This window comes from Homo sapiens, chromosome 10 (assembly GCF_000001405.40).
Source record: "Homo sapiens chromosome 10, GRCh38.p14 Primary Assembly".
Taxonomy (NCBI): Eukaryota; Metazoa; Chordata; class Mammalia; order Primates; family Hominidae; genus Homo; species Homo sapiens.
In genome coordinates, this window is record NC_000010.11 from 4257851 (window position 1) to 4279378 (window position 21528).

Below are 21528 nucleotides of genomic sequence, written 5' to 3' on the forward strand. Positions count from 1 at the left end.
TACACATTTCTGGAGGCAAATCTTCATTTAAAAGGTGCTGCAAACTCAAGCTTCCCTCATGAATGGCATGTGTTAAATGTGAGATACTCCGAAAGAGTTCTCACACATCACTGCTGTACAGAGCAAAGTACACTATCACGAATGCATTGATTTAATAAAAGGGCAGAAAGTGAACGAATGAATCGGTCAACTCGGGAACCTGGAAGAGCAAAGCCGCAGCAGGCGCTGCTCTCACCCATCCTGCCCTCAGCTTCAGCCTGCAACGTGTGCATTTTCCGCCCTGTGCTCTGCTGCTGAAGGGCCTTCGTCAGAGGATCGCCTCCTCCAGGAGGGCTGTTCTCCTGCTTCCCTCCTAGGACTGAGCTCTTGACTCCAGGAGCAGCTAACCACACAGTGTGACTTGCTGTCCTGGTCTCCCTGCAAGCTCAGGCTGAGTCTGTGGTTGCGCTTGAACCTCCTGCTGTTGAGTGTCCTCACTTCCTGGCCAGTTGGTTTCTCCTGGAAGAATTTATTTCACAAACACTTGCACCCAAACCCTCGCCTCAAATTTTGCTTCTGGGAGAACTCGACCTAAGATGGAAATGTACAGATAGAGTCTAAGGAAAGAAAGAAATGTAGGGGCACAAACTTAATGCAATTGAGAAGGTGAGGCAATATAAGGAATTCACAAAAAGAAGGCAGATGAACGTCTCGAAATCTTAATAATGAGAACTTCTCTATGATACCATGCTCAGTAGATTGGGTGTGGAGCTGGGATGGATGGGGACTTAATTCGGATGACCTGATCATGTGAGCAGTGTCTAGCAGAGCCCAAGGTCAAAATCCTTCAGGAAGATCTTTAGAACCACAAATGGGTTTCAGCAAATTATGAGCCCCCTAGGTGAAAATCTTATGAGAGAGCAGTAAAATAGAAGGAAGAGAATTAAATCATGCAAAGGCAGTGTATTATCAAAGGCTTCAGGGTGTGAGGTGAGTGGCTGGGTGCCTATATTTTTCACAGTAGACTTTTCTAAGGTGAGAGGATTTTTTATTGTGTAAATATTTATGTTCCTTTGTTTTTGGCAATGCTTGCATATCAAAGGTGTACAAGAAAAGTCAAATACATGAGAGCTCAGTAAGAATGGTCATAGAATCTCACTTTATTTTCTATTAATTTTTGTTTCTGTTGTGCTGGAAAAATAATATGCCTTTATATGGGGATGAGAAGGGAGAAAAGTCATTATATTCCTTATTCTTTTCTTTTTTCTTTTTTTTTTTTTTTTTTTTTGAGATAAGGTTTCATGCTATTGCCCAGGATGGAATGCAGTGGCACAATCATGGTTCACTATAACCTTGACCTCCTGGCCTCAAGCACTAGGCTCAGCAGCTGGGACTGCAAGTGCATGCCACCACAACCCGCTGGTTTTTTGTTGTTGTTGTTTGTTTGTTTGTTTTACCTTGTTTGTAGAGATGAGAGTCTCACTGTACTGCCCAGGCTGGTCTCAAGCTCCTGGCCTCAAGTGATTCTCCTACCTTGGCCTCCCAAAAGCTGGGATTACAGGTGTGAGCCACGGCACCTGGCCTTATATTGCTTCCTGCTTAGTTTCACAAGGACTGAAATCTACCCTCTGATTTCAACCAAAGTCCCATTCTGACATATAGAAATAGCAATTTGCTGCTAGGTATATATTTAGAAAGAATAAAATCTCCCTTTTAAGGTGAATGAAAGTAAGCTTTATCTTTCAAGTGGTGGGAAAGGAGGTCCATGCAGGTGAATGTGAGTGTGTTGGTGTGTGGTATACATAACATCTAGTGGGTACGACGGTGTGATCCTAGGCATGTAAAAAGAACCCCTCAGAGCAGTGGCCATATGGTATTTTCTGCAAATGGTTAGATGCTTTTGAATATTTAAAATCTTCACTCTAAAAATAGAACTGGGTATCTATCTGATAAGGTGGTTATTTCATTTATTATCAAAGGTTAAGTAAACATTTTCACTAGGGACATCACTAAAAAAAAATCATCTCTCAGAGAAAGGAAAATAATTCTTTCCAGTTTAATTTTATTCCTTTTTGCGACAGGAGGGAAGGCTGGGATCCACTGGGTTGATTCCAGGGCCTGTCTCTGGGCTGGGGGTAGAGAGGTAAATAGTGGATGCATCTCTTTGTCTTCCACAGTTTGATGGATGCCAGTCGCCAAATAAGAAATATTTTTAGTTTCAAGCCAGTTGCTACTGAAGTCAAAAGTTCTAATTGTTCATTTATCCACAGTTTTCTGGGTGAGGAAAAGGGCTAAATGGGAAGACAGAGATGCCTTCTCTTGCAGGGGTCATTGTCCTTGACAGTAGTGCATGCCCAGAAGAGACAGCATGACCACTGCAGTAAGACACCTGGGAGCAGGTAAGCACAGCCACCTGGCTGTTAGTGACATGGTTGTCATCATGACTATTATTATTATTTGTTAATATTTGTTCCCAGTGCCATGAGGCTGCTTTCTCAAGCAGCAATTTCTTTATTTCAAAACAAGTTTCAGTGTAATTCACCTCACTCACAAGGGTATTCTAGAAACAAGTGAGTTGCTTGTTGCTCTTTTTAGCTGACACACCGAATAAACCTTGACACTTTCCCTTCCTGGTTTCTCCCTTCCCCTCGCCATCATAGCAGGAGGCTGCTTTGAAATATATTATACTGACAGTGAGCATATGTGCAGCAGTAAATATTATGGTTTCATCTAATGCTTCAACTGTGAAAACAAAAGACAGAAAATGTAGTTCACATAACAGATACTGAGGTCAAAAACTATCGGTACAGATATTCCACATGGCAACTATTACACATTTCATGGAGAGCTTATTTATGGGAACATATTATGAGTCATAGCAATTCATAACATGGTGTGCTATGGAAAATTCCATTCTCCACTCCAACTAAATAGTAGACACACAGCACTCATTTTTGATTAATGAGAGTCATAAACATATCCCACCAGGTATAATACAGTAGTTTACAGCTCTAACCTAAATTGACAGATATATTTTTTTCTTCATAAAACAAGAAAAATGGGATAAGTAAAATTACTGCAGTTCTCAGCCCAACAGTTAACTGGCTACAGCCAGGGCCGGGGCAGTGTCATTACCCACTTATAGGGATTTCAGCTCCTCTGGCATCATTTATTCATTACCTATATTGCAGCATCTTCATCTATTCTATAAAGATCTTTCTAGTTTGAATTAAGATAATGTGCTATCTGTGCTTGTTAGATATGGCATAACGCGGTTTGTACTCACTTTAAATCTCACCAAGTCAGAGAGCATTTTTGCATTTGAGATAGAGCTAAAAATATTCACCCATTAAAATAGTAATCATCATTAAAATTAGCTCACTGATTTTGCTGATTAATTTTTCAGTAACAAGTGTGCTTTCCGAAAAGTTTCAATTAAACATTTTTTGACAAAACTACATTTTTAAATCGTAAGAAGAAAAAGATAATTAAGGAAATAAAAATAGAAAATTTAAATCTACTGTAATTTTTAAAAGCCTGAAAAATTCTCTGACAAAAATAAAGAGTGAAGAGGATGGGGATGGTTGCTATTACTAGAATGTAGGACTGAGTTAGTTTCCTACATTTTCATTTTTGGGCTGTGATCATCACACCTTGGAAATGTTGTCTATTTTTGCCTGTATAGAAAAAGTACAATCTAGCAGACATAAGAATTCAAGGGAAGAGGGCCACTTTGGTGAGATTTAAATCTTTATTTGCATGAGTTCTATTTTCAAATGCAACAGGCATGGTTCAAGTTCCGAACAAGGTTGGAAATCTGTCAAGGTGCAGCTTTAAATCCAGGGGATGAAACCAAGGTTGGCTGCTTATGAGGCAGTCGTTGGTACTTTTTTTTCTCTTTAGAATCTATTTTCGTTGAAGTTAAAGACATAAGCAACTTTTGAAAATTATGGCAGAAGAAATAATGGGTCTTTCTTTCTTTCTTTCTTTCTTTCTTTCTTTCTTTCTTTCTTTCTTTCTCTCTCTCTCTTTCTCTTTCTTTCTTTCTTCTTTCTTTCTTTCTTTCTTTCTTTCTTTCTTTCTTTCTTTCTTTCTTTCTTTCTTTCTTCTTTCTTTCTTTCTTTCCTTCCTTCCTTCCTTCTTTCTTTCTTTCCCTCTTTCTTTCTTTCTTTTTTTTTTTTTTTTGTTTTTTGAGATGGAGTCTCACTCTTTTGCCCAGGCTGGAGTGCGGTGGCATGATCTCCGCTCACTGTAACCTCCACTTCCTGGGTTCAAGCGAATCTCCTGCCTCAGTCTCCCAAGTAGCTGGGATTACAGGCGTGGCACTACCACACCTGGCTAATTTTTGTATTTTTAGTAGAGATGGGGTTTCGCCATCTTAACCAGGCTTGTCTTGAAATCCTGGCCTCAGGTGATCCACCTGCTTCAGCCTCCCAATGTGCTGGGATTACAGGTATGAGCCACCATGCCTGGCCGTTATTTCAATCCCATAAGAATATCAATCTGTACTGTAATCTTTAAGAAAGCAGACTAGTACAAATGTCTCTGGCTTTAAAATAGATACACATATTTTAAATGGAGAATAAGAACATTAACTCTAAGACAGAAACCTGTTAAAAAAAGTATAGAAGATAAATAGTAGGAGAAAGGTATAATGTTCAGCCATGTTAAAAATAATGTTTGCATATAATTTGGTACTAATAAAAGCAATTAAATACTCCTTAGGTTTGAATACTTGATGTGACACAGTATTTGTAATGGGTATATGTCACAAAGCAGTAGTGATGTCCGGCCCATCACAGATGACCGGCAGTAGTGATGTCCAGCTCGTCACAGATGACTATCAGAGAGTATGTGTCATGGGAATATCTTCTGACCTTTCTCATATAACGGGTGGCAGCAGACATCAAGAGAGACAGGGGCTCCTGTCAAAATGATCTGGGATATGGCAGGCAAGAAGGAGCAGCAGTTAACCCAAAGATTTCCATATTTCCATAGAAAAATACAAACACACACACACACACACACACACACATTTATTTTCTTTTTAGAGAACACAGATAATGTGTAGTTATATATTTCTTTATTTCCAAACATTAAGCTGTAATGGAAATCAGCTTGTTTTAATAATGTAATTTAGCTTAATCTTCGATGGAGCTTTAGTGAGCTATTTTCTAGAATTTTTAGAAAGTAAGTCATTTGCTGTTTATGAGTCTCATTACATAATCTCTGGGCCATTTGAATTGCAAGAGATATTAAATCAAAATGTTTATAAAAGGTTATCTATGTATTCTATGACACAGTATGTCTGAGATGGCTAGCATTTGAGAAACAAAGATGTTCTTATTTGTCTCCTTTAATTTGAAATGTAAATTTAGTTTGGTTTAAAGTGGAATGCCATAGATAACTATCAGAATAAAACAATGTGTGTATTTGTGTGTGTGAGGGTGTGTAGATTGGTAGATAGATGATAGATGATAAATAATAGCTATACAGACGGAAGATAGCTATATGGACATTTAAGGTACCTAAATTATCATATATTGTCACATCTTGACTCCTAATTACATCCAGGTGCATATGAAAATAAAAGGTTTGAGCTATTTTAAATCCTGTGTGTATGTTTGTTATTTCCCAACATTCACCTTTGCCCTCTTGCAAACTATCTTTCCTGTAGCAGCCAAAGTGATTTAAAAATAAAATACAAATATTTTAGACCTTCGAAAGGGCTGGCATCACACTTAGAACCAAATCTAAACTCCCGGCTACAGCCTGCCTCTCCTAGCTCCTACGCCATGACTGCCCCCAACCCACCCCAGCTCTCTAAGCTCCCACCCTAGACCTCACTGGCTTCCTGCCAGCCTTAGGACACAGGCTCCTTCCGTTTCTTCAGCCTGAGATGGCCACTCCCTGGGGCTGGTCTCTGTAAGCTGGCTCCTTCTAGCACTGCTGGGGCTCTGCCTAACCTCCCACAGACCCCTTAACCAGCTCTGTGGGCTCTGCCCAGCTTCTAGGGAGTTGCATCCTGGTTCAGGGCATCTTCCTGGGGCTTGTAGGCCTCCCACAAGGGAGGTGACTGCCGGGTGGGTGTGTGAAGCCCAGCTCCCTTCCCTCCACAGCAAACTGCAGAGGTAGCATCATCACCAAGCATCTGAGCACACAGGCTGAGGCTGAGACCCCCTGAGAAGCTGTCCCCGCCTGGCATCTCCTGCTTCCCTCTCTTGACCCTTACATTGCCAGATTGGCTTCTTCTGGAAGCAGTTCTTTAATCGATCGCTTACAGGTAAATCTTCATCTCAGCATGTACCTCTGGGAAGTCTGAGGCAAGACAAATGGCAGCTCCAAAGCCACCTCCAACCCCCTTCTGACAAAGACAGCCCATTCAGGGACCTAGTATTCGTTTCAAGTCCAGGGCCCCCCAGGATCCCAAGCATGGGGTCCCTGGGATTGGGGGCACTGCCTCCAGCCTGGGCTGCATGTTTTATATTTTCTCTGTTTATTCCCTTGATGAGACTTATTACTATCTGTAATTATGCATCCTTTGTTTATGTGAATATTGGTTTCCTCCAGTAAGTCACACTCTCTATGGAAACAGCAGCTTCATTTGCACCCTTCACTGCCACACCTTGGCTGCCATGATGGCACGCAGAGAAGGCAGGTGCTGCTGGATGCTGGGGACATGAGAACCTTGCTCTCGAAGAGGAAGATCCTGCCTCTCTTCACCAAATTCTTACATCCCCATTTCCATAAGCTGCGTCATTGTCTCTGCTGACCCTCAGCTTCTCGGCCTATCCTTGTTGCCCTGGCTCCTGGGGCCAGCAGGGCTGGTGGCTGCAGGAATTTATGAGGGCATGTACCTGTGAAGAGCGAACAGTGGTAGTGCCTGATGGCCAATTTTTGAGATGCCTAAAAGCTTTCTCAGGGCGCCTGGGCATGACCATTAGGAAAGGAGCATGCATTATGAAGAGTGTGGTCCTTTTCTAGCTCAGCGAGATTTACTTCCCCAGGTGGAGCTGGTAAAAGCACAAGCACCCTCGATAAACCCTGAGGAGCTCAGGTGGTTGCCCAGGGAGTGGAGCCTGGTGAGGACATTTCCCTGGAGATCAGGCACCGGAATGTCTGCTTCCTAGCTTTTCTGGGAGTAGGGGATGCAGAAAGCAGAAGTGAATGGAACAAGTTCCTTATGACCTTTCACCATTTGGCAAATGTGTGTGATAGAATATGCAGAAGAATGGACCAGGCAAGGTGGTTCATGCCTGTAATCCCAGCACTTTGGGAGGCCAAGCCAGGAAGATCGCTTGAGCCCAAGAATTCAAGACCAGTTTGGGCAGCAAAGTTAGACCCCAACTCTACATATATAAGAAATTAGGTGTGTAATCCCAGCACTTTGGGAGGCCGAGGCAGGTGGATCCCCTGAGGTCGGGAGTTTGAGACTAGCCTGACCAACATGGAGAAACCCCGTCTCTACTAAAAAATACAAAATTAGCCAGGTGTGGTGGTGCATGCCTGTAATCCCAGCTACTCAGGAGGCTGAAGCAGGAGAATGGCTTGAACCCGGGAGGCGGAGGTTGCGGTGAGCTGAGATCACGCCATTGCACTCCAGCCTGGGCGACAAGAATGAAACTTTGTCTCAAAAAAAAAAAAAAAAAAAAAAGAAATTAGGTGGATGTGGTGATGAGCTCCTGTAGTCCCAGCTACTCTGGAGGTTGAGGCAAGATGATTACTTGAGCCTGAAATGTCAAGGCTGCAATGAGCTGTGATCATACCACCGTACTCCAGCCTGGGTGACAAGGCACAACCCTGTCTCAAAAAACAAACACAGAGGATGCAGAAGAATGGATGTCACATTTAATTTTTTAAAAAAATATATATCCTGTGAGACATTTAACTCAATGATTTATTAATTCAAGAAATCTTTATTTAGCACTTTGTATGTGCTAGGCCCTGGTCTAGACATTGGGAGCACAGAAGTGACCAAACGCAGACATATTTTGCCTTCCTGTTTGATATTCTAGTTGGCTGAGAGAAACAATAAATGAACACTCGGAAGGTTGATGGGTTGGCAAAAGTGAGAGAGACTGGACTTGGTGGGGAAGCTTGGTGGTGGTGGCAATAAGCTTTTAAGCAAAGATTTAAATAAAGCAAGGAAGCAGTCCATGCAAGCACCTTCAGGAAGTGTGTTTCAGGCAGAGACACGGTGGGTGAATGCTCTGAGGCTGTAACAAGCTGAGGGGGAACAAGAAACACTAAAATTCTGTGAATTCCAGCGGCATCAGTTGAATGTTAATTATGGCACATCAGGTACTTTCCCTTAGCAGCCAACAGAGTAAAAGGGAGTCGGTCTATGTACATAGATGATTGCTTTTGAGGTGGCACTTAACACCTGTGTTTCCATCATATCCCAGTGGTAGACTAGAAAATGGCAACAAATAATAGAATTTGTGTTATTCTCATAGGATCTTTTTAATAAGTTATAGATTCATCTGAGGGAGTACCAGACTATTGGGTTTTAGAGATTGACAGCAAAGAAGAACTTAGGCATGAATCTTCTTAATAACAGCTAATATAGAAATAGAGGAAAAAATCATTCTCACAATACAGATAGATTAGAAAGTAATCATTTATATTCAACAAGTATTTATTGCATAACTAAAAGATTCTATGTGAGAGTACTACACGTAATGATTTTCTGTGAAGCAGTTAAGATACAATTTGTTCCTCTAAGAAGGAAAACAGGATGTATGCATCTATGTTCTCTGCCAAGCACACTAAGGCTTTTGCTTTTAATTCATAAACATTATGCAATACAATGGCATACAATAAAGTTCCTCTTTGTTTAGTAGAGCTGAGGGTGTCCCAGTTGGTTGCAATATATATATTTAATAATTAGATTGTGTGTGTGTGCACAAGTGTGTGCATGCACATGTATGTGTGCATGCATGTGTCTGCATATATGCACACACACGAGGGTGTGTAAGTGGGTATGCATGTGTGTGTGTGTGTATATGTTCACATGTGAGTGTGTGTGAATGGACATGCTTGTGTGTGTGTGTTCACATTGTGCAATCCAAATGCCCTGCTTTATGCATCTGTATTCAAGACTCAAGTCCTGCGGGGACAGAGTAACTTGTTTTCAAGAGTGTTTGGCACAGCATCCTGCAGATGTGGGAACTTAGTAATTGTGTGCTGAGGACGATGATTAGGTTGATGACAAATTTGTGTGTTGAGTAGAAAGAGCTTACTGATTAGTTTCTGGAATTGTTGCCCAGTTTTAAACAAATGGGGTTTTGCTGTTTTTTTTTTTTTTGATTCGTGGGTTCTGTCATGTATTTAGTTAAACTATGAATGCTGCATTAAAATGAATACCTTCTCATCTTCCTGGAATATGCGTGGGCGTCTTGCAGGGATTACGAGTGGACTTTGAGCGTTGCACTTCTCCCACACCTTCTCCTGTGTCCTAGGCATGGCCAGGCGCAGAGGCCCAGGGAGGAGCACCAGGTGTTCTGGAGCTTTTATTTTGGGGATTTGTATGTGTATTTTTTCAGAGGTCTCCTGAAATTTCTCAATCCTATGCCCCAGAAAATATCCAGATTGGCACTAGGTGTTACTCTTTGGCTTGAGACTCTCTTATTAAATCTTGCTGTCATGTGTGTGATTTTATTATTTTTTTAAAGGATATGAAATATGCATCCTTAGTAAGCAATAAAGGGGAGCCGCACATGGATTGGAGCCATGATGTGCTCCACCTGCTGGAAACATTTCCAAGGATCCTGTCTCCTTTTACAAACTGTATTTATGATGGTAGCCCCTGTGATGATGAGTTACATGTATTCTGTTCTCTGTGCTACTCAAATAAAAAGTGGTAGCTGTTCCATTTCGCTGTTTCAGGAATGTAAGAAAAATATGAAACTGGAAGATCCTTGCTCTAAAGAGTAAAAATTCAAAAAACAGAAAAGGTTTTCAGTACTGTGAGAAATGGTTTATGAGTCTTTGCTAAGAAGTGGTATTATCTATGAGGGCAATAAATATGAAGGTCCCAGTGAAATTTAACTTTTGGGGAAAGTTGCTATCTTAATCAGCTTGGATTTCAGACAAATGTCTGATGGTGAAAATTTAAACAAAATAAGAAAAACAAAGAAAAAATAAGCTTACTAAAACAAAATAAAGTGACACAATGAGACACTGAGAAAATACAATGGAGGCTGAGTATTCAGGATCAAAAGACTCAGTGTTTTACTAGGACTTCCTATGGAAAAGTCTTCATTCGATTAGACAGATAAATTTGATTCCACTTTATTGAAATGATCAAGAGGTATGTGCAAGACTTCAGGAATCCTAAGTGACGTTTAAAGCGTTTTTAAGCCGTGGGAAGATCTGGCGTGACTTATTGTATTTGAAACTTCAGAGCAACTCCAAAGGCAAACCCAGCTCAGGGAAGACACATTGTTACTTGTACTCAATAAGTAGATGCTAAGAAACATAACATGCTTCTTACCTCAAGGCTGAGGTTAAGATGGTAAATTGAGTTTTCAAACGGACAGTAACACAATGCCCATCACAGCTGTACCTAGACCCGGAGCCTGATAAAATCTGCCGCTCTACCCCGACCACGCCACGTGTCTCAGCACGTATTTGTCTGTTTTCACACTGCTGATAAAAACATACCCAAGACTGGGAAGAAAAAGAGTTTTAATTGGACTTACAGTTCCACATGGCTGGGGAAGCTTCAGAATCATGGCGAGAGGCAAAAGGCACTTCTTAAATGGTGGCAGCAAGAGAAAATGAGGAAGAAGCAAAAGCAGAGACCCGTGATAAACCCATCAGATCTCATGAGATTTATTCACTGTCATGAGACTAGCATGGGAAAGACTGGCCCCCGTGATTCAATTACCTCCTCCTGGGTCCCTCCCTCTACACGTGGGAATTCTGGGAGATACAATTCAAGTTGAGATTTGGGTAGGGACACAGCCAAACCATATCGCAGCATTAATTATTTCTACCTACCTATACTTGCCACAAGCTTTGCCATGGACACGGGGATGGGAAAAGAGATAAAACTAGACAGATAGGAAAAACAAAGTGGCTTAGGACTGGCCATTGACTTGAAGAAGGGAAACATGAGAAGAGATGAAAACTCTCCATGGGAGTTCAAGCTCCTTCCTTAGGGGAGGTGGTGTAAAGAGGAAATTTAGGAGATGCATAATGAATGCTGCTTCCATGCCAGAGAACAGTGTAGGAAATTTCATTTCCTTAATTTAAGAGGATTCTAACTCATGCTTGAGCAAATGGATATAGAAAAATGTTATGAATGATAAATTATTTTGTACTATTTTGTTTTAAAATAACCCATATCATTTTATAGCATGAAAATTCACTCAAATGTTGAAGCTATCATAGGTCTTTAGCAATGAGCTTTCTCCCAGGGAAGAAAGTGAAGAAAACAATTCAAAGGTAAGGCTAAAGGTGACCCAAGATTTAGAATTGGGCTCATCGGATTTCAGATTCTGCATGTGACTAAGTCAGAGCCAATGCAGTCTTCACTTCATGTCAGCAAGAGCCACACTCTGAGTGCCAAACACAGCAAGATATTGCAAGGTTTGCATGATATTCATGGCTCAGGAACATAATATAATCACAAGCAAACTTAAAAAAATCAATTAATTCTTACCTTCCAGGCAATAAAATATCCAAAAATCACAAACACAGATTTGACTCTATAACCGCTATTGCTAATGATCCCTGGCTAAAATGAGCATGTGAGCCAGGCATAGTGGCTCATGCCGACAATCCTAACACTTTGGGAGGCAGAGGCAGGAGGATTGCTTGAGGCCATGAGTTCGAGACCAACCTGGGCAACAAAGTGAGACCCTTTCTCTACAAAAAATTTAAAAAAAATTAGCCAGGCATAGTGGCACACACCTGTAGTCCCAGCTACTGGGGAGGTTGAGGCAGAAAAATCACTTGAACTGAACAGTTTGAGGCTGCAGTGAGCCATGATTGTGCCACTGCACTCCAGCCTGGGTGACAGAGTGAGTCCCTAGCTCAAAATAAATAAATACATACATACATACATACATACATAAATAAAAATTTAGAGGTTAGCATAGGATTTTTTTTTTTTTTTGGAAATGAAATTTCTATTGCTTTTAAAAAAATACAAATCGATTTGTGGTGGTTCTGCGATGATCCCACACAAAGGGATATTCTACATTTCTTTTCCCTTAGGCTTGGGCCACCCTAGCTTTAGGAAAACTGTACATTTTCCCTGTTTTAGCTATACTTTGTAAAACTATTAGAAATGCCTGAGAGAGAAATGGGAAGAGAGCAAACAGGGACTGTGTAATGTGTTTGTTTCCTTTACATTCCTTTGTTGCATGTTTGCTAAATTCCTGTGAGTTTAGCCTTAAGGGTTTGAGATTCGGGACTACTGGGCAGGACCTGCTCACCGGCTGCCCATAACCGTCACAGTAAGAGAACACAGACAGCCACAGGAAGTGAATCTTGGAGCTGTGATGTCATCTCGGCTACTACATGTGTATCTGTTCTTACTTAGCCTGGAGAGCATTTGGGGAAGGATAAGAATTAGGCAGAGGATAGACAATGGGCAAAAAGTTTTGTAAGGGAAACTGTCAGTTAGCAAGAATGCACATGAATATATAAGCACAATGACTTGTCAGTTTGGTACTAGGTGATAGGGTGAGTTTTGGGAAGGGATGTTAATTTTAGTCTCCAGTTTTGCTGAGGTCATAATTTTGATTCATTTTTTTTAAGTTTTCATTTTATGCCAGTAGATGAAGCAGATAATCAGCCTTACCTCCAGGTACTCAGAAGGTACTTGCCCAGGGCTGCACAAGTTGCACCAATGATGACAATAAGAGGGGCATTTACAGTTTACATAGTGTCTGAGATTTTAGAATTTATTATGAAGAATAAAAAAAGGTATAGGGAATAACATAATGAACCGCCAGCTTTCTTAAATCTTCATATTTTGGCATATGCATTTCACACTTTTCAAAGAAATTAAACTAAACATGAGGTCCCTTATTGAGCCCTGAAATACCCCTTTTCTCCCCTTTTGAGATAACCTGTTACCCTTAATTTGTTTTCAGTCACCCTATTCATATTTTATGCTACCTTTATATATGCATATTCATGAATTTTTCATGCAGTGCTTTATCTATTTTAAAATTTAAGTGTCTCACACTGCACATTCCATTTCTTACATATTTTTGTCACAAAGTTTTTGGAGAATTTATTCTGTTACCCAAGCAAACTTGTTAACTGTTTTGTAGTATTCTGTGGTGTGAATATTTCAGTTATTTTTCTTTTCTTCTGTTATGCTCCTTAAGACTGATTCTAATAATAGTGCACGGAGTGAAGGATGTTTTATTTTTTTTTTTGCTAGTCTTTTTTAGGAACATGTGTCTAGGATTTGCTGGTAGCATGCAGCTCCTTTTGCAGTTCGTTTAGCAGGCACAGACACACTTAGCTGCTGCAGGGTACCACGCTTATCCAGCCTTGGTCCCAGAAGAAGACAGGAGTAGCGTAGGGAGCTGTAGTCTCCAGCACACTCCACAGAACACCAGCAACAACATGCAGGGGCCGCAAGCCGCTGAAATGCGGGAGCTATTTGTTGCTGCAGCTTCCAATTAAATCTGACAAAAGTGAGGAGGCAGTCACCAGTGTCATACATGTGAGATCTCAAAAAAAAGTTCTCTTTTTTTCAGAAGGCAATTGGATGTATGTTCCATTTTGATTTTTTTAAGTCAGTGTACTTAATGAGTTGACAATATTTTAATGTGTTCAGTCAGAATTTAGGGAAGAATGAAATTTTCCCACAGGGAAATAAAAAGATTTCTGCGACAGAGCAGCAACCAAAGGGACATTTACTTGGGTCCCCTGGGGCCTCTGCCTCTGCTGCAATCTGACGGTGGCTCTGCAACTGGTACCCAGTGGCCAGCCCAGGGCTTCTCTCAGTTGTTATCCTGGAAATTCCCTTCTGTTTTACTCAGTGCTGATTACCTATTCCCAAAATCTGACTGTTCTCATCCTTGACCTAACCCCTCATTTCCTTTGTTCTACTTTCTAGGTTCTAGGATATTTCCTTCTCATTGTATTTCACACCAAATCCTATTTCTTGGCTATCTGAATGTTCCTTTTATCTTTTCTTGATTTTTTTATTATTTCAAGAAGGTAATATTTTATCATATGTTTATGGATAGTACAGATTGTTTTAAGCAAGATTTCTTTTTTTTAAGTTGTTTTCTAATATTTTTCATTTTTTTCTTTTTTTACACTTCGCCTCATTTTCCCATTTAATGTAAGTTTGAGGCTTCCTTCAGGTATCTACAAATGTGATTACTTGGTAAAACTGCATGACTGTCTCCAGTTTTACTTAATGCCACCAAATTGCTCTTGAAGGGCCTGTGCCAATTTAGTGTCATGAGCAGAGAATGAGCATTTATGTCACCCACCCACCCACCCGGGTTTTTAACATTCAGTGACCAAGATAAAACACAGCACCACCTTCTACTTGTCTAACTTTCTTAGGTCTCAGGGGACAAGCTTTGGAAATTTAATTTCCTCAATAACCACCCCGTTAAAGTATTCTGAGTTTTGAGTGGTTCTTGACTGCTGTATTGTTTCATTAAAAGTGCATTCTTTTTTCATGGATTTTTTAATAGAAGTTTGTGTTTTAGATTTATTTTATATATATATATATATATATATATATATATATATATATATATATATTTTACCTCGCAAACATAAACAGGGTATAGAATTAACACAATTTGTTTTGCTTTTGTTTGTAGAATTCTTGATTTTTTAGATCTTTTGGAATGAAATGTATGAATGTTGTTCTGCAAAAGATTTTGTATTTTACTCTTACTTGTAAACTGGATAGACCTATTTATTCAATAATATAAATGGGAATATTCTGTGTTACAACGACTTATTTCAATCTACAGTTGCTTGTGGCTTTTTGTCCTTGTAGAATGTGACATCTATATTAACAAATATTGTGATGGAAAAGTAGAAATAGGTTTATTGACATTTCAAAGGGACAGTTTTATGGCATAATTACTTTATAAGACTAGTACATTCATTTGAATGACTAGAACTAATTAATATGGTGAATAAAATTTAACTTCCTTGAGAAAAATCATTAATGGCCATTTTGAAAGAAGATGATGAAATAATTTGTGTTATTTCAAAATAAAAGAGGATTACATTTTAATCTAGATTTCTCAATTATACCAAATCAGAAACATCTATCATTACTCTCTTGCTCTGAGATAAACATAAATAAACACATCAAAACTATTTCATCAAACTCTAATACCAAGGCGCTCAAATGGAGTACCATTTCCATCAGGCAAGCTTGCTACTAAAAAAAATTTAAATTTTTGTTAACTATATTAGTATGTACTGAACTTTATCTGGAGAAATGGAAGAAATTATATTTGTTAATTATTGTAAAAAAATTACAGGAGGAAAAGTGAGATTTTGTTAGTTTTGCTTTTTGTTTGGATCTTGTTGGAAATGTATTTTCTTGACTACTATATAAACCCAAATGTCTGCATATTTAACCATAATCTTGGTTGCTATGAAACTGGAGATTGTGTTTTTAAAGAATATTTACTAGCAAAGACATTTGTGCTTTCATAGAATATGTATACCGAAAAAAATTTAAATTCTATTGAGAAAAGGCTGCACTATAGTAAATCCATAATGAAAAAAAGAATTACTCTAACAGTATTACAGTTATACCTGTACTTTTCTATTTAGACGAAGACTTTCTGCAGAGCTGTAATGGTTACTTTTATGTGTCAGTTTGACTGGGACACAGGGTGCCAAGATATTTAGCTAAACATTGTGCCCAAGTGTGCCTGTGAGGGCGTATCTGGAGGAGGCTAGCCTTTGAATGGATGGACTGAGAGCCTTCCCAGTGTTGGTGGCTCTCATCCAACCAAGGGACAGCCCCAATGGAGCGAAAAACAGAGGAGGGCAAGCTGTCTCCCCTGTCTGACTGATTGAGCTGAGACCCTGGTCTTCTCTGGCCCTTGCACTGAAACTTGTGTTGGCTCTGCTGATTTTCAGGCTGTGAGACTCAGACTGGAATTTACACCACCGACTTTCCTGTGTCTCCAGCTTAAAGATGGCAGATCATGGGACTTAGCCTCTATAGTCATGTGAGCCAATTCCTTATTCTACTTATACATCTACATATGGAAACATCCTGTGATTTCTGTTTCTCTGGAAAACTCTGACCAACAAAAAAGTCATACAATTTTAATAGCCAAAACCTGCAGACTATGCACTTTTGAAATGTCCAGGACAACTTTAGATGAGAACACAAATATTACCTCATCTTAGTACACAATAGACTTTTAGTCTATAACGAAGCAAGCAAAATTTTAAAAAGTAAAGACTGAATAAGAAGTATAATATCTCTGAGGAATAGCCACACCATCTTCCACAATGGTTGAACTAATTTATGTTCTCACCAAAAGTGTAAAAGCATTCCTATTTCTCCACAACCTCGCCAACATCTGTTGTTTTCTGATTTATTGATGATCGCCATTATGACTGGAGTGAGATGATATCTCACTGTGGTTTTGATTTGAATTTCTCTAATGATCAGTGATGTTGAGTTTTATTTCACATGTTTGTTGGCTACATGAATGTCTTCTTTTGAGAAGTTTCTGTTCATTTCCTTAGCCCAGTTTTAAATGGAGTTGTTTGAATTTTTTTTCGTAAATTTGTTTAAGTTCCTTGTAGATCCTTGACATTAGACCTTTGTCAGATGGACAGATTGTAAAAATTTTATCCCACTCTATTGACCCAGCAATCTCCTTACTGGGTATATACCCAAAGGAATATAAATAATTCTATTACAAAGATACATGCATGAGTATGTTTATTGCAGCACTATTAACAATAGCAAAGACATGGAACCAACCCAAATCCCCATCAGTGATAAACTGGAAAAAGAAAATGTGGTACATATACACCATGGAATACTACACAGCCATGAAAAGGAATGAGACCATGTTTTATGTAGGCACATGGATGGAGCTGGAAGCCATTATCCTCAGCAAACTAATGCAGGAACAGAAAACCAAACACTGCATGTTCTCACTTATAACTGGGAACTGAATGATGAGAATGGATACAGGGAGGAGAACAACATACACTGGGGTCTGTTGGGGGATGGGGGGAGGGAGATCATCAGGATAAACAGCTAATGCATGCTGGGCTCAATACCTAGGTAATGAGTTGATAGGTGCAGCAAACCACCATGGCACATGTTTGCCTACGTAATGAACCTGCACTTCCTGCACATGTACCCGAGAGCTTAAAATTTAAAAAAAATTTAAAAAGTATAACTTGTAGTCATGTATATCTTAAACAACTTTAAAAACTAATGTACTGTGTTCCCCCTTTTCCTTCAAGGAAAACCATTATAATATGATCTTGTCAATAATCAGCATTTTCTAGTTAGGAAACTTGATAACATTATCAAAACTGTTTTTTTGAGAGAATACAATTTTGACAATTTCTACATTGAGTCAAAACTTCTGTGATAATTAGTTTTAAATTGACCTAGGCTACTTTCTTACTGTATTTAGAAAAAAAAACAAAACTGAGATTATATATAACCTACAAAATATCAACATACAATATCTGTTCATTCTTTAAATCTTGGGATATTATTTTATTTTCTATTATCCTGTGAATTGAAAAATTTTACTCACATGACTTTTACCTCTATCAATTGTCTGAAAATTAAAATGATACTGAAATAGTAAGGATTAAGATTCTTAGCCTAATGTTAACAACAGTTCTCACCTTATCCATGGGGGATACATTCCAATACCCCGGGTGTATGCCTGAAACCTCCAATGCTACCAAGCCCCACATACTCCATGTTCTTTCCTATACCTACAAATCTATGACCAAGTTTGATGTACAAATTAGGCAGAGTAAGACATTAACAATGATAACTAATAATAAAATTGAACAATTATAGCAATATATTATAATAAAAGGTTATCTAAATTTGGTCTCTCTTATTTCACTGTATCACCAATAACTAAAACTGTGAAAAGTGAAACTGTGGATAAGGCAGGACTATGGTACTTAATTACTAATTCATATGAAGCAGATATGTTTTAAAGTGTTCAGAGAAGAAGGGTATCTACTTTTGTCCCTGCCTTAAACCTGCCTACCCTGAAAAACACTTTCAATACTGTTCAGCATAAAGGAGATAAGTGAGTAAATGCGGCAGCTCACAGCTGAAGAGGATGCTACAATTTGGGTGCCAGAGGTTGCAGGTGAAAAACAACAGAAGCAATAACAATACTCAATGAATTTTATGGAGCAGTATTGTCCTTAGAGTTGTCTCCCATGCATCCTCATTTTGTCATCATGGTCATCCTGTGAAAAGCCTGCCCTTGTGATCCCCGTTTGATAGGGGAGGAGGCTGCTGCTCAGAGGACTGTGTGACCTGCACATGGCTGTGGCCCTCGCTTGTGGAGTGTGCACTTAGAACGCCAGGCCCACAGCAGTCAGATTCCACGGCTTCTCTCTTTTTCTCTCCCCTGCTCATCCAGGACTCTGCATTAGACCTCACATTAGAAGTGTGCAGTGCACAGTGAGAAGCCTCATGCCCTCTCCCCTGCAAGGAATTATGATGAAAAACTTAGGAAGTAGCATTCTCCATCCCTGCATTTGGGCTCAGAAATGTACTCAACCTAAAAGTGTTTCAACGTTTACTTCTCAACTACATGTATGGCATGGAAACAAAAAGTTCACCTTGAATCCTAAACTAAACTCTAGCCATGTTTAGTTCTTAGAGAAAAAAAATCAACCCTCTAAATACCTCTACTTCTTTGTCTGCCTATTATCAATTGGCCCAATAATTTTTCTAATAGCTTATCTCTTTCATGATTTTCTTTTGCTTCATTTCTCCTGTTTTTAGGGTTCAATACTTTTATAAAAGTTCGGGATGCACCTGATTTGCTGTAACTTCTTCTTAACTTTTCAATTATCATTGAAGGATAAAAACATTAATAATTTGCAGAAAATCCCCAATCATACCTTGTTTGAATAAGACATGGTCCAGTGCCAAAATGTAGGCAAGTTTAAGCAGTAAAAACTTCTCTTTAGGCGAGGGCCAGTGACCTCAGACTCATGCACATCATTTAGGACTGCACCAAATGTGGCCACAAGCCGAAATCAAATTAGTTGAAGAAAAAGCAGAAAAGTCTTGGCTTCTGTAACAGAGATGTCTACAGGGAGACCTGTTTGGGATTTGACAATATTCAGGCCTTAAACAAATGATAGTACCAAAGGCTCTATTGTATCTTCCTTCGAGCTAGTGTTTCTTGGACCATCTGATGTCTCCCACTCCCACACCACTAGGTCCAGAGGAAGGAAGAAAGCTTTCTCTTTTCCTGAGCTCCGGCAACCATTTTATTACATTTCTTTGACTCTCATCGGTTTACCTGACAGTTTCAAAGCCCATCACTAGGTTTGAGGGAGATGAGATACACAGAGGTTCAATTTAATCCAATTGATTCCATGCGTGGAGATAATTCTGGGGTCTATTTCCCCAAACTGAAAAGCAGGAGTGGGTTTCCTAAAGAAATTTGGATTTCTTTTGTTACCAGCGGTGAAAGAGTGGATGTTGGTCAGCTAACAATAATTGCTCTGTAATTGGAGCTCCAGCACCTGGGGGTTTCATGAATAGATTTAAGGAGTCTCAAAACTGCTTTGAGATTGTGTCAAAAATGCATAAAAGAAAATATGCATATATTTAGTGGCATTTAACTTGCCTAAAATTAATAGCCACTAGCATAGAGACTTCATATTTAAATATGCTGTGTTAGAAAGGGATTTAAATGCACAAACGAATCTCCTGTCTAAAGGTATATTACCAATTATCTAGACTGTCTCTTTCTTTCTTGAATATTGTTTCTTTCTTTCTTGAATATTCCATTTGTTAACAAATGAGGACCCTTCATAAATATGACTTGATTTAGATAAATATGTAGATAGACGTTTAGAAAGAAAATTAACTACATTAACTACATGTTCTTCTTCAGTTGTTGTAAGAAATAGGCTTATTAAAAAAGAGATTACTGAAAATAAACATATCTTTATATTCTATGAGCATGTGTTTAATAGATTCTTTTCTTCATTACTAAGAACAACTAAGAGATTATAAAAGGAATCAAAAGCCCCAGAAAGACTGGAAAAGAGAAATGCAAGACAGTTAACTTGTAACAAACTGCCTTTTAATGAGGCAATTCTGCAAATACTTTAATAATAATAATAATGGCAATAATAGTTATTTGGATTTTCAGTCTGTTGTTTCTTTCTATCAAGGGTATAAAGCATTTCGACATAATGAGATAATATTCATGACAAGGGAGTAGTCATAGCCGTAAATGTCCACAGCACTTAAACACTGATGAGGAGCTTTGACATCTCATGACTGGCAAAACCCTTTCTTCTAAGTGCTTCTCAAGGCAGCCGCGCTATCAGGCACAGCTGGGAAATGGGGGTGGCAAGGATCCTGAGAAAAGCAGTGGGATTTTTCACTGGGGATAAGCCATTGTGGTAGCTGGCTATGAGGCTGGGGAGCTCTTACTATAATCCACTCTTTAATGCACAAAATCTAAAAGTTTACTGACCAGCTGTTCAATGAGACAGGGTGGGTGTTCTGAAATACTCAGTGTTTCATGGCTCTGTGTATCTCTTGCCATACTCAGAGGTTCTCAGATGAGTTTCAGAGGCCTTCCTCTCATCTGTTTGTGGCTCCATTGAGCAACTCACTGGTCTCTCCAGTACATCTATCCTCCAAATTCTATCTCTAGTGATATTTCTAAAACACAAATTGGATCTTTCATGAGTTAACAATCATCAGTGGCTTTCATTTGCTTTCAGGGTGAAGCTCAATGCCCTACACGATTCTGCTCCTACCCAGCTTTCTAGATAGTGGTGTTGAGGGCCCGGTTCTGGGGCCAGGAGGATTTGGGTTCAGCTGTACTAACAGTGCTGGAACCTTGAGGATCTTTACATCTTTATGCCTCAATGTTGTCACTTAAAAAAATGAGATAAAATAAATCCTACTTTGTTGATTTGCTCTGAGAATTAAAAGAGAAATCAGAGGCTTAAGGGTCTGGGCTATTAACTTAAAATGTGTGATTTAGATTGGCCTCCAGAAGAGTTTCAGGGAAACCTGCTATAACTGGTGCTAAGACAATCTGTCTTCATAGAGTGTTGAGCTGATGGATGGGGCTGGAGGCACTCATCTCCTGGACGTAGACCTGAAACATCGAGGCTTAGATTCCGGCCCCAGTCATGGCAGAAAGGAGGCCAGGATTCCCTCAGAAGATGCACTCTGGGGATTAGGGTAGGATATTGAGGTTCTGTTACGACCCACTGCTGGAATAGCAGTTCCTGAGTATTTAAGAGGAAAAGCTGGTTTTTCCCCATCATTCATCCTGAGTGCCCAGGACCATGGCGCCAGGACAC